This window comes from Homo sapiens, chromosome 7 (genome assembly GCF_000001405.40).
Source record: "Homo sapiens chromosome 7, GRCh38.p14 Primary Assembly".
Lineage (NCBI taxonomy): Eukaryota > Metazoa > Chordata > Mammalia > Primates > Hominidae > Homo > Homo sapiens.
The window spans coordinates 139,949,681-139,963,057 of NC_000007.14; the positions used below are offsets into that span (position 1 = coordinate 139,949,681).

Consider the following 13,377-nt stretch of genomic DNA (forward strand, 5'->3'; position numbering starts at 1 on the left):
AAATCAGGATAGTCATACTTATTTTTCTTTTTTGAGTGGACTTCCAGATAGGTAGATGAGGTAAATCACATTTCTGTTTCTACAAATCATTTGACAAAGTCTTCCCCAGCTGACTCATCAGTAAAGCGGTGCCTGGCTGAGTATTTACTTAGGTTCATGCACAGATAGCCCAAGATCCAAAAACAGTGATGATGAATGATTCTGCGGCTACCTAAACCAGCTGTCCAGTGGAGGGGCACAAGGCTCTGCACCAGGGCCTGCCTACAGACCAATGAACTGAAGGGAGGCTTAGAAGGCACACTTACTACATTGCAGATAGAACGAAGAAAGAATAGCCCAGTGTTGCAGGTGATGGGATTTTTTTTTTTTTTTTTTTTTTTTTGAGACGGAGTCTCTCTCTGTCATTCCAGTGATGCATTCTTGGCTCACTGCAACCTCCACCTCCCAGGTTCAAGCGATTCTCCTGCCTCAGCCTCCGAGTAGCTGGGATTACAGGTGCCTGCCACCACGCCCAGCTAATTTTTATATTTTTAGTAGAGAGGGGGTTCACTCTGCTGGCCCGCCAGGCTGGTTTTGAACTCCTGACTTCAAGTGATCCGCCTGCCTTGGCCTCCGAAAGTGCTGGGATTATAGACCTGAGCCACCACGCCTGGCCAGGTAATGGGATTTTAATGAGTGAGTACATCTTTTGCTCCCCCACAGTGTTCAAACACCCCAGTGCTCTAAGCCCTGTGGCTTTATGAACAGCAAATCTATTTTCCCAAGATGGCTCTCCCTCCATGAGCCTTGGCAACAGGGCACTCATGAGTCTCAGATGCTCTGCTATCTCTCCACTTGGGTGTGTTATGCTGTGAACATTCTGCTCCTTGAGCTGTTGTTCAGCCGTCCATAGCGCTGTCCAGGCCATTGTCCCTGCCTTGGTTACCACCTCCACGTGGCAGCCTTCATGGAGCCATTGCAGCTTTGATCTACAGGACTCCCTCACCCTCCATCTACGGGACCCCCTCGCCCTCCATCTACGGGACCCCCTCGCCCTCCATCTACGGGACCCCCTCGCCCTCCATCTACGGGACCCCCTCGCCCTCCATCTACGGGACCCCCTCGCCCTCCATCTACGGGACCCCCTCGCCTTCCATCTACGGGACCCCCTCGCCCTCCATCTACGGGACCCCCTCGCCCTCCATCTACGGGACCCCCTCGCCCTCCATCTACAGGACCCACTCCTTCAGCAGAGGAGTTGGGCCCCTGGTAACACAATTCTTTCCTTACACCCAGAGCACGTAGGACTGACTCGGAGGAAACTGCAGAGGAGAGGGGTCCTATAAAATTTCATGTCCTCCCAACATCCTGTCAATAGCCGGCCAGCTGTCCCACTCTACCAGGTGTCTCCAACCAACTGAATATTCCAGAGAAGATAAGAGATCGTTCTGCTCAGAACACACGGCAGGACAACTAGTGCCTTTCTAATGAATGGTCCCTAAAAAAATCGAAATAGCAATTGTACCTGGTTATCATCCATGGAAAAAGACCTCGTGGTTTTCATTAACCTGAACCTCAATATTTGCCTGCACTGTTTGTCTTCTAGAAAAGTCAACATAAAACTGGCTTTGCGATTGACGTGTAGGGTACAGATCTCAGGAAGTGATTCATTTACCATACACCAATCCACACCTGAAATACTGTATTCCACTTATGAGGCCACCTTTAGGAGTGACCCTGATAAAGATGAGAGCAATAAGGCAGGAGGGGTGTATGCAAGCCATATGGTTCAGTCCCCCATTGAAAGGATGGGGGCAGCCAGGCACAGTAGTTCACGCCTGTAATCCCAGCACTTTGGGAGGCCAAAGTGGGTGGATCACGAGGTCAGGAGTTCTAGATCAGCCTGATCAACATGGTGGAATCCCGTCTCTACTAAAAAAAAAAAAAAAAAAAAAAAAAAAAAATTAGCCAGGCATGGTGGCACACACCTGTAATCCCAGCTACTTGGGAGGCTGAAGCAGGAGAATCACTTGAACCTGGGAGGCAGAGGTTGCAGTGAGCCGAGATCACACCACTGCACTCCAGCCTGGGCAACAAAGCAAGACTCTGTCTAAAAAAAAAAAAAAAGAAAGAAAGAAAGAAAAAGAAACAAAGAAGAAGGAAAGAAAGAGGAAAGAAAGAAAGAAGGAAGGAAGGAAGGAAAGAAGGAAGGAAGGAAGGAAAGAAGGAAGGAAGGAAGGAAAGAAAGAGAAAGAAAGAGAGAAAGAAAGAGAGAAAGAAGGAAAGAAAGAAAAGAAAGAAAGAAAGAAAGAAAGAAAGAAAGAAAGAAAGAAAGAAAGAAAGAAAGAAAGAAAAAGAAAGGAAGGAAGGAGGGAAGGAAGGAAGGATGGGAACAGTTGTCTAGGAGAAGATGGGGAGCAGATAGGTACTTGCTGTCTGAGTGTCGGGTGCACTGTCATGAAGAAGAGAACAGAAATGAAACCAGCAAAAGATTGTTAGACGAAGTCAGATTTTGCCTCAGTACAACAACATACCTTCTGAGAAGCAGATTAACTTTATAACTTTTCCCAGTGCCTCAAGACTTTAAGAGGAAAGAGTGGGTATTACATAATCAGTACGATGCCATGATTCGTTCATTCACTTAACAAATAATTACTATGAGCCAGGCGCTGTTCTAGGTGCTGGGTTTATAAAAATGAAGAAACAGACTAAGATCTCTCTGACCTCGAGAACTCAATATTCTAGTGTGAAAATCATCAAATCTAAACATAGGTTACATTTTATGTCTTTCATGAGAAATGCTCAGAATGATGTATTAGAGCACGTTGCTTTAGCTGTGATGCTATTCTAGAATGGGCAGCGAATAAAATGATTCTGCTCGATATTTTCAGCTTGGCCTTTTAATCATGCAAGAGAGAATAAAAGGTCACATGGGTGGCCAGCAGGCTCCACAAAGAATTCCACCCACCCGTTTGTCGAAGCCGAGTGGTATCTATGTGAATCTCCATTATGCCACTCTACCTTTCTGTGTAAGTTAGGAATTTTCTAACATAAAAGTATTTTCCTATTAAAAAAAAGAAACCCAACAATTGCCCCATGTGGGCATAGGAGGCATCTTGAAGTCAAGGTTTTCCCAGTATTCGAAAGCTTAGCGGCTTAAGCACAAAAGAATAACCATCCATCAGGAATGCTCTATAAATAATTTCTGTGTTAAATAAGAAGTTGAAATGGATGACCTTAGGTTCCTTTGGATACTAAGATTCAATATTCTAGTGAAAGATCTAAAATACAATCGGAATACACAAGCATAGACTTGGGTTAATTCCAGGGATTGTGCATATGGATTAGGCTTTATTTACTTGCTAATGCTAACCAAATGTCATGAAACTGAGTACTGATTCTCAGTTTTGTCTAAGCACTTAATGATCATTTTCATAATTATTTCACCGTATTCACTGTAAATCTGTTCTTCTTTTTTGCTTCCAAAGATAAAAAATGCTTAAGCTAAAATAGACGTTTAGAGCTATTGTATTTTATGAATATTTGTGAATTTTAGGATCTTCTTCTTGAATCTTAGCTGTGTGAAAAATATCTTCCAAACAGTGTTCATTTTCCCAGAAAGCACTACATATAACCTCTTCATCTGCAGCCAATTTAGGTGTACTCCCGGCATGGTGCCCTAATTACACCTTTGTTATCCATTATCAGATGGTTCCCCTCATCAGCCAAGCCTGCGACCTTCTCCTGGCTCATTTAAAACGCTATGCGGAATCTGGGGACGCATTTGACATCCAGAGGTAAGGCTGCTGCATTACAGATGAGAAATCGAGTTTTTGAATCACTGCTTCTTGTAACTGTCCATAATTGCTGACAATTACCTTGGGACTAGCAAACTGTGGAAACGCTAGAAGCTCATAAAAGCATGGATGGACTGATTAATAAAAAGAAAAGAAACCCACTTAACATGGGAAAGAGATGTGAGCAGAGCCAGGGTACGTGCGTCCTGTCGAACCTGTGGATGGATCCACCCTCTGACCTCCACAGACCCAGGAATGGGCAGGACAGGCCTGCGCCTAAGGACAGGGATGGGGGGAAAGTTCAAGCATTTTCACTTCAAGAAAAATTGTGGTGCACCTCAGCCCAGAAGCTATAATTTAGTGGTGGACACCAAATTTAAATAACTGATTATCTGGCTTTTCGTCATTTTGTAACTAAAAGGTTTTTGCTTTAAAAAAACATCTTTAGTCTAAGTTTGTCCGACCCACAGCCCGCTGGCCACAAGCAGCCCAGGATGGCATTGAATGTGGCCCAACACAAATTTATAAACTTTCTTAAAACATTGTGAGTTTTTTTGCAGTTTTTTTTTTTCTCATCAGCTATCGTTAGTGTTACTGTATTTTATGTGTGGCCAAGACAATTCTCCTGCTTCCAACGTGGCCCAGGCAAGCCAAAAGATTTAGCCACCTTTGCTTTAGTCATTTTATGCCAAATCATGGCTTACAGCAGATAAAGAATAAAGTGGGATGGTGAATCATCCAGAAATTTATTCATTATTATCATTGCTAATAAAATAATAACATAATCATCACCAACACTGGTATTGCACCAGTTTACACAGTCTTTTCATCCACATTGTCTCTGATTATTATAGGATGCATGAGTTGGCTAAAGATAAGGTGGCCTCATCAGCTATAAAAGCAAAGTAAATAACCCTCAAGACCCTTAAATCTTCAACCTTCAGGATCAGATGAAATCACATTCAGTAGTCTCATTCTTGTTTTCACTCTAGCAGGGAAACGTGTAATCAGTTGTAGAAACGTTTTCAATAAAAGCAGTGTGAATTTTAAAAGTCATCTGGAAACGTCATGTATTCCTTAATGATAAGTTAGTGGTTATAGAATTCATGTACAAAAGGAGTTAAGTGTGTGCCTACATTGAGAACAAAAATTGGCCTTTTAATTATAAAAAGATATTAATAACCCAGTTTTTAGCTTTTTGGAAAAGAACTTAATCTGACTACTCCTATAAGATAACAAAAAGAATCATTTGAGTTTAAAATGGCCTTTTGAGGGGGCAGCTTTCCTATAGCCTAAGAGGTTAAATTTTCTGGAGCTCCTGCCAGACACTTTTCCTTCTGTTTGTTTCTAAAGCACAATGTATGTTTTCTGTAATAATATACAGATGTTCATGAAGCCTGCCTTAAAGTTTGTCTTGTGTTTATTTGAGTGCTAAGAGCCCTTGCTTTTTGTTCATTGCTATTAAGAAAACTGTAAAATCATTAAGAGGAAGAGGGAGACAAAGTTAATAAAACTAGATAATTAGGTTGTTAATTCATCAAGGACAATTTGATGTCTATCAGTCAATCATTAGATTCTGGCCTGAGCTGGGCTGTGCAGAGCTTTGGGTACAGCATGTAGGCGTTGGGTCACCTGTGTGCCCTCCTTCCCAGGGAGGAAACTATAAAGTGTCCTTCTTAGTACCTGGCTGTGTTCTGGTTGACCACAGCTGCCTGAGGCTCGAAGGTGGAAGAGGCTGTGCCCTCCTCTCCTCCCAGGTCTTTGTTTAGACGCCAGGTCTTCGTGTCTCCTCCCACCCTCTGCCGTCACTGCTCAGAGTGCCCCATCCAGGAGCCCATCTCCCTCCACCTCCCCCCAGATCTGCAGAAGCTCCTCTTCCAGACACATCTGCAGGGCTGGGCAAGCCAGTGTAAGCAATTCAGGCCCTCCTCCTCTGGAGGGGGCCATTGTGGGTAGCCCCTGCCAGAGTCCTTTCAGATCTCTGTGCTCCCATCTCCCGTAGGTGCTACTGCAATTACACCACAGATGTGGTTGCCAGCGTCGCCTTTGGCACCCCGGTGGACTCCTGGCAGGCCCCTGAGGATCCCTTTGTGAAACACTGCAAGCGTTTCTTCGAATTCTGCATCCCCAGACCTATCCTGGTTTTACTCTGTAAGTGCGGCTGCAGCCCGGGGCGCTGCGATGACTCCAGCAAGTTGGGCAGACCCCATGACACCTGGGGTGGCTTCTGGGGCTCTGTCCCTGCCACTGGGAAAGGGCACTCGGGTTGTTCCCCTGCAGAGGCTTTGTCTTATGGAGCCACCGGGTTCCTCTTGTCACCCGCCTAGGGCCACTTATTAGCAATGCTGTAGCCCTGGCATTGGTAATAAGTGGCCCCACCGCCATGGTGAGAACGGTTGGGACGCACCGTGTTAGGCACGGGGTGTGCGTTGCCTCACTTAGTCCTAGTACTCACCCTATGAGAAAAATATTCTTGTCCCTATTTCTCAGGTGTGAAACAGGCCTAGAAAGGCCGAGCTGAGACTGGAACCCAAAGCCTTTCATTTCCTAGGGCATATTTCTTTCCTTCAGCAAAATCCTCTTCACAAGACTTCTCCACTTGAAGCCCAACACACAGAAATCCTGTGTGGTGGATGAGGATTAGGTCACCCAATGCACGAGGACCAGTCTATTTATTTTATTTTATTTATTATTATTATTATTTTTTTAGATGGAGTTTCGCTGTTGTTGTCCAGGCTGGAGTGCAATGGCACGATCTCGGCTCACCGCAACCTCCGCCTCCTGGGTTCAAGCGATTCTCCTGCCTCAGCCTCCTGAGTAGCTGGGATTACAGGCATGCACCATCACGACCAGCTAATTTTGTATTTTTAGTAGAGAAGGGGTTTCTCCATGTCGGTCAGGCTGGTCTCAAACTCCCGACCTCAGGTGATCCGCCCACCTTGGCCTCCCAAAGTGCTGGGATTACAAGCGTGAGCCACCACACCAGGACTTATTTTATTTTTATTGTAGAAGTGAGATTTTGCCCTCTGGCCAATTCTAGTATCTTCTTGCTTTTATAGGAGCATTGACGTGTTGTTATGCTTGGTATTGATTATTGCCATGATTTCTAACCATTCTGCTGGGCTGGTAAATTCCATTCATTCCTTGACCAGTTTCATTCCCGTTTCTGAGCCGATGTCCATGGGAGCCCGTCACCTCACTGGCTCCGCCCTGAAATCGTAGGCAGAGTCACTCTGAGTGTCCAGCAGTCTCTTCCTGCACCCTTTCCACCGATCTTGGAGGCAGCGCAGGCTGTGTCTGCCCCTTGTGCCTCAACCACGGCCCAGGCCTGTGGGGCAGGTGGCTCAGTTGTGCCATCCCTTCTATTTCTCCTCTCTGCCTCTGCAGGGCCCTCCTGCTGCTGTGTCACATTGGTTCGGACTCTGGCTCTTGAAAATGGGCCTGCGCATTCTGAGAGCATGTGTGTCTGGAGATGTTCTCCCCAGCCCAGCTCCCATAGAGCCCGGTACAGGGTGAACCCACAATGGAAGCTGAGAAGCTGAACCCAGCCAGTGCCCCTCTCCAGGGGAGATGAGGGGTTCCTGACTCTGGCAGCCCGATCCCCAGCACATGGCAGCAAGGGCCCATGCTGCACCCAGGGGCCGGCAAGGGAGGCACCCACAGCAGCAACAGCCAGTACCCTTGTCAGCAGCTGCAGTGGCAGCTCTTGGGAGCAATTCAGGAGGTCATGCTGGGAACAATTATCCACTGGAAAGAAAATTCAAATGACCAGAAAGTTTGTAAAAAGTAAATCAGCTTCTACCACTTGCTAAGGCTTGAAACAGCCTGTAATCCTTTCTCTCTTAATGAAGTACAAAGACCTTCAGGTCTCATCCCCAGGACCTGAAACATTAATTTATGAGGGTGACCTTGACCTCTTGAGGGCCAGATGGAAGTGCAGACTCGATTAATTGCACAGATGTTTATTGAGTGCTTACTATGTGCCAGGAATGGTGAGGAGTACCGAGAGGGAGTGAGACATCACCCCTGCTCTCAGAAGCAGCAGTGCGGCGGGGAGGGCAGGACTCCAAAACGGCTCCGATTCCAGGCCCGCGTTTGCTTCCCGGGAACAGGCGTCTAATGGCCCTGGTTTATTATCACCCCCTTTTCAATGCCACTTTTGTTTTTCTCTTTCAAGTATCATTTCCATCCATAATGGTCCCACTGGCCCGGATTTTGCCCAATAAGAACCGAGACGAACTGAATGGCTTTTTTAACAAACTCATTAGGAATGTGATTGCCTTGCGGGACCAGCAAGCTGCCGAAGAGGTAACGTATTTTAATAGGACACAGCCTTGAAATGGAATGGAGCCGACTTTGGCATCACTGTCTCTGCTCTTTCTCTTCCCTCTCAGCCCCGCACATCACACCGTGCCGTCCTTCAGCAACCCACCACTTACAGCTTCCAGGGACAGTGGAGAGAACAGAGGAAGGTTGAGGAAGGTCAGACAAGAAAGGGAGGGTGGGACGGCAGAGAGAAGCCTACAGCAATGTGTACATCCTCGGACACGGACGGGTAGAATTAAAGCCGCCCCCAAAACTGTCTCCCTAGTGCAAGCATCAACCCAAGCACAGGTTAGAATAGCCCAGAAGAATTTTCTGGGTAAGTGTGCCCACATGCAATTTTCATGAGCATATTCTTTATATTGAAAACCCAGCAAGATGGAGTTCTCCAGCATGAACAGCATGCTTATTAGAGAGTTCGGCAACTGTCAGTCACTAACCCCACACTCCCACTCAGCATGGAGGATGTCGCTACAGAACTCGTGGTTGAGGGCCCCCTGGACTCCTTGGCACGATTCATATGAGACGTAGCATTTTCTTTCCTCCTTGCAGATTTGCACTATGCTTGGCACATAGTAGGAATCAAGTAAATATTTGTTGATTGAACTTGGCTAAAATAGAAAGAGGAGTTTTCAGTGGGAAGAAAGGTCATTTCAATACTGGATATGCATATGCATATGTAAATCTGGGCTTTAAAGCCCTTGTCACATTAAAGAAAGTTACTAAAAAGGAAAACAGGGCTGAAATGGCCTTTCCTTAGCTGGCTCGTGCAAGATGCAACTTTAAAAGGGTTGTCTCAAAGACTGGATGGCTCAGAGGAATTGGTGAGGGCCAATTGTTAAGGCACTGGCCTGAAATGAAATCAGGGGTCAATTAGTGGCTTGATACACCGAGCGGCCTTGGGCAGCAGCCGCGTCCTGTGCAGCTTCACGCCCGGAGAACTGTGCAGCAAACGTGTCTAGATCCAGAAGGCATGGGAAGGTGTAGGCAAGCTTGCAGCCCCCTCGGCCCACACCACTGTGAACTCAACTCGCATGTCCTTGGAGGTGCGGGAAGAAGCAGCTAACTGGCATCCCTGCCCCAGCTCTGAAGCCTAAAAGGACAGAACATTCTGATCCAGGTTCATGTTTCTCCGCAGAGTGAGGCTGGAGCCAGGGGGAGAAGGGATAAAGAAAGAACCATTTTCAACCCTCAACATTGCTACTAAGGGCCACCTTTTGAGAGTGTTCACACACACACACACACACACACACACACACGCATCCCTAGCCTGGCTGTGGAATCAGGCTAAAAATTTTAAAACTGTTGCATCGAATGACTTACTAAGAGGTGAGAGGTTATTAAAGATCCAATTACTGGGATTGCCTAGAGCTTTTCCTTTTATAAACTCTAGTGCTATTTGTTTCAAACAATGAGTTGATCTGAGAAAAATCTCCCAACCACAAATCCAGGACAGCCATGTCAAGACAGAGCTATACGGTTACTAAGAAAACTTGCTTTAAAACCATCTAAAGTCTGTATACATTCCATCAAGCAGATGTGTGTTTGCGCAGTGAAAATGCGGCACAGATGTTAAAAGGTAAATATTTTTCTAAGCTCTAGCCGATGGGTGGATTAGACACCTACATCTATCAGGGTGCGTATTTTCCTTGGATAGGACCATAAACCAGCACCGTTTCAGTCCTCAATGGGCAGTGTTCAGATAGCCTCCCTGATGCCATGTGAATAAAAGAAACCCATCTATACTAATGTTCTTCTCCAGTGCACGGGCCCTGGAGAGTGGCCTTTCCTCTGGCCTCTGTAGCTGGAGGTTAAGACAGATTTCTGCAAGATTCTGACAGCCCTTTAGCAGTCTGTCTGGGCTGGGATAAGAGGAAAGGATGCTGGCTGCAGTTTTGCCCATGGAAAAATACCCGGTGTAGAGGTGGCTGTGCCCTCCCTCCCATCATTACTCCTACACTACCTCAGCAAAGCCATAGCCAAGCCTCAGGGACCACAATGATATCACACCCTGAGGACCTTCAGAGGGACTGACTGAGAGGTCTGGGGGTGCTCTGGGGTCCTGTGCTGGTGTCCCAGAGCTGAGGGAGCAAGGGATGCTCACTTCCCCTGCGTGCCATCTTGCCTGACCCTGCCCCAGCTCTGCTCCATGGGAGCAGGGCCAGCAGTGGGACCACACCAGCGCCCATTGACCGAGCAGCAGGAAGGAAGCTGGGGAAAGCCAGCCCTTGAGGATGCTGTTTGAAAATCAGAACGAGCAGGGCCAGGGTGGAATGAAGCCACCAACTACCCCCGACCCTCACCATTTTCTCAGCTATTACAACCCAGCAGGCTGTTGGGAAGCTGAGGCCTTGCTTCCTTAGACTCAAGGTCTGTGGCACCCATAGTCTTAACCTTGAGCACTGCTAGGATCCCAGTAGGCACCTTCCAAAGTCACAAGGCTGGGGTGCAGTAGAGCTGCAAAGGTGTCAGCAGCCAAGACTCCCGCTCTAAAGAGCATTCACTTGTCATCAAACTCAGCATACCCATCCTCCAAATGCACGCACTGCATTACATTTTTATCTGTTGAGTCATGGACTGCAGATTTAACATGTGCTCAGCATAAAACTAGGCACGGTGTCAGGGGTTGAGGGTGGGGTCCTGCCCTGGAGTTGCTTATAATCTTATGGAGGAGGAAAAGCAACCACACATGAAATGACAACAATCTTAAAAGATGGAATCATCAGGAGGCTGAGGCGGGCGGATCACCTGAAGTCAGGAGTTCGAGACCAGCCTGACCAACATGGTGAAACCCCGCCTCTACTAAAGATACAAAAATTAGCCGGGTGTGGTGGCACATGCCTATAGTCCCAGCTACTCAGGAGGCTGAGGCAGGAAGATCACTTGAACCTGGGAGGTGGAGGTTGCAGTGAGCCAAGATCACACCATTGTACTCCAGCCTGGGTGACAGAGCAAAAAAAAAAAAAAAAGATGAAATCAGACGCTCATGTGTGTGGCATAGATTATTAATGCAATCGAAATTCAGAAGCCAGTGAACTGAGAAAATGCTGCAGCTAGCAGAGTACTTTGCATGAAATTCTAATATTTTTCTGTTGGTGATTCTGATACTCTCCTTTTGCCATTTTAGTCCCATAAACTTCAGAAAATGGAAATGTCTTGGTTGTCCTTCATGACATTAAAGAGCATTTCAAAGAAGGGATGTTCTAGGAATAAGCTTTGTTAACACAGAGGCGATATAGAAACACTCCTATTGTTACAATTAGTAATAGTGAAAATATAAAGAATATGCAAATGACTGATAAAGAAGGTAGGGGGAAATGGAAAAAAAGCTCTGACTACTTAAACGGGGGCAGGGGATTACTGAGAAATAGAGGGAACCGATGTGAAGATCTGATATGAAGGCTAGGGGATGAAGAAGGCAAAGCCTGGAGACTTTGAAGACAGGCGCCGCCAAACTAGTCCCCTCGCCTTGCCCTCACTTCTGTTAACTTCCTACTGTGTGAGAAAAACTGGTGGCTGCCCATCTAAGCCCTAAGCTGCACAGAAGTGAGCAGTACAGCACATGCTTGGTTTTAAATCTATCTATGTGATGTTGCCATTGTTTTATTGTTGGAAAACCAACCACCAACCAACAGTACAAAAATGTATAAAGTAAAAAATAAAAGCCCCCCTCCTGGTTTTCCCACCTCCTCCAGCTCATTATGAACTGTTGGGTGGGGACATTGCTAAAATCGTCTATGTGTAGACAGATATAGGTGATGATATATTTAGTACATTTGCTGTTTTTGCAGAAACGAGAGCCACAGTGCATACTGTTCCATGACCGGCTTTGTTTTTACTTAACAAAGTGGCTCAATGACTTTCACATCAGCCCAGATAGAATGGCCTCTGCCTTGCTCAGGGCAGCAGCCCAGGCTGCTCTTCACTGCCCCAGAACCTGCCTGACCAGTGCTATACTAAGGGACATTCAGGTGGCTTCCAGGTTCTCACCGTCCCAGATAACCCAGCAATGAGGAAGCTTGTTGCTACTGAGCTCTTCAAAAGCTATGCCCATGTATCTTCCTCCTTTGTTCTCCAGGAAGCCTCACTCTTCATGACTGTAAGGTCAAAATGTGCATTTTTCTCCTTTTGTTCCTTAGAGGCGGAGAGACTTCCTCCAAATGGTCCTGGATGCCCGACATTCTGCAAGTCCCATGGGCGTGCAAGACTTTGACATCGTCAGAGACGTTTTCTCCTCTACTGGGTGCAAGCCGAACCCTTCCCGGCAACACCAGCCCAGCCCTATGGCCAGGCCTTTGACTGTGGATGAGATTGTGGGCCAGGCCTTCATCTTCCTCATCGCTGGCTATGAAATCATCACCAACACACTTTCTTTTGCCACCTACCTACTGGCCACCAACCCTGACTGCCAAGAGAAGCTTCTGAGAGAGGTAGACGTTTTTAAGGAGAAACACGTGAGTACAAGTTGGATCCAGTTACCCATGGGATATCCATAGGACAATTGATTTTGTGTTTGTGGGAGTGAAACTTATTTTTAATGACTTGCTAATATCACATTCTAAGCTTATAAGATGAAATAGGGTCATTGCTTGGCTTCTCCTGCTCTCCGGGTTAGCAAGCGAAATGAAATGTTGAGAACAATAACCACAACAAAAAGACAAATTGTGTGTGCACCTTCACTGTCTGGGGTAGTCCATGAAGCCAGGCCTGGCTCGAGGAAGCTGTGGAAGCCCAGGAAGGTGTCAGGCCCAAAGGGCAGGGATGGGGAAGGAGTCATGGCTTCCCAATATCTGACTTGGAGCTGCCACACGGAGGGAGGCAGGTGTGAGCCAGAAAGGAGAGCCAAGATAGAAGGCAGGAGTGGACAAAAGGACAGGCCAAGCTGAAGCTGGACTGAAGACTGGAAGCTGAGGAGGAGGCTCACAAATGGAATAAGGGAAGATGGGGCCCGTCAGCGCCCAGGCCAGCTTCAGGGCATTTTCTTCTAGATGAGGCCCCTCTTGATCGTTTATAGCAGATATAACGAGGGTGCTGAGCAAGGCTACTTTATCACCTCATTTTTTCTTCTAGATGCTTGTGTGTGTATAACTTTGACTCATGAGTTGTCAAAGAGATTCATTTTTAAAATCTGTACTTTAAAAGGAAGACCACCACAGTGGAATCCTTTCTGTTACATTCTGATATGATTGCTATTACATTCACCATTTTGAAAGGTGGTCTGTTCTGTTACTGGAACCATTAAAAAATGTTTCATACAATGAACTGAAAACCACTTCCC

At 46.5% G+C, this 13,377-nt stretch overlaps 1 protein-coding gene across 8 annotated transcripts in view, besides 2 other annotated features; it reads left to right on the forward strand.

The window, feature by feature from the left end:
• Nucleotides 1-13,377, forward strand: part of TBXAS1 (thromboxane A synthase 1) — a 242,052-nt gene that overhangs the window by 171,439 nt on the left and 57,236 nt on the right. For 7 of the 8 annotated variants that reach the window (NM_001130966.5, NM_001166254.4, NM_001314028.4 and 4 more), the window contains 4 exons: nucleotides 3,688-3,776; nucleotides 5,779-5,927; nucleotides 7,954-8,084; nucleotides 12,239-12,553. In NM_001130966.5, the coding sequence (NP_001124438.2) occupies nucleotides 3,688-3,776; nucleotides 5,779-5,927; nucleotides 7,954-8,084; nucleotides 12,239-12,553 (684 nt within the window). Of the gene's footprint in view, nucleotides 1-2,870; nucleotides 3,009-3,687; nucleotides 3,777-5,778; nucleotides 5,928-7,953; nucleotides 8,085-12,238; nucleotides 12,554-13,377 lie in introns of all 8 variants that reach the window. The other variant, NM_001166253.4, reaches the window with a different exon arrangement.
• Nucleotides 5,784-6,284: an enhancer, noted in NCBI's record as "H3K4me1 hESC enhancer chr7:139655263-139655763 (GRCh37/hg19 assembly coordinates)". NCBI's record gives its function as "activates a minimal SCP1, AML or CMV promoter by ChIP-STARR-seq in naive H9 embryonic stem cells {active_cell/tissue: H9 hESC(naive)}" and the evidence as "EXISTENCE:reporter gene assay evidence [ECO:0000049][PMID:30033119]".
• Nucleotides 7,216-7,716: an enhancer, noted in NCBI's record as "H3K4me1 hESC enhancer chr7:139656695-139657195 (GRCh37/hg19 assembly coordinates)". NCBI's record gives its function as "activates a minimal SCP1, AML or CMV promoter by ChIP-STARR-seq in primed H9 embryonic stem cells {active_cell/tissue: H9 hESC(primed)}" and the evidence as "EXISTENCE:reporter gene assay evidence [ECO:0000049][PMID:30033119]".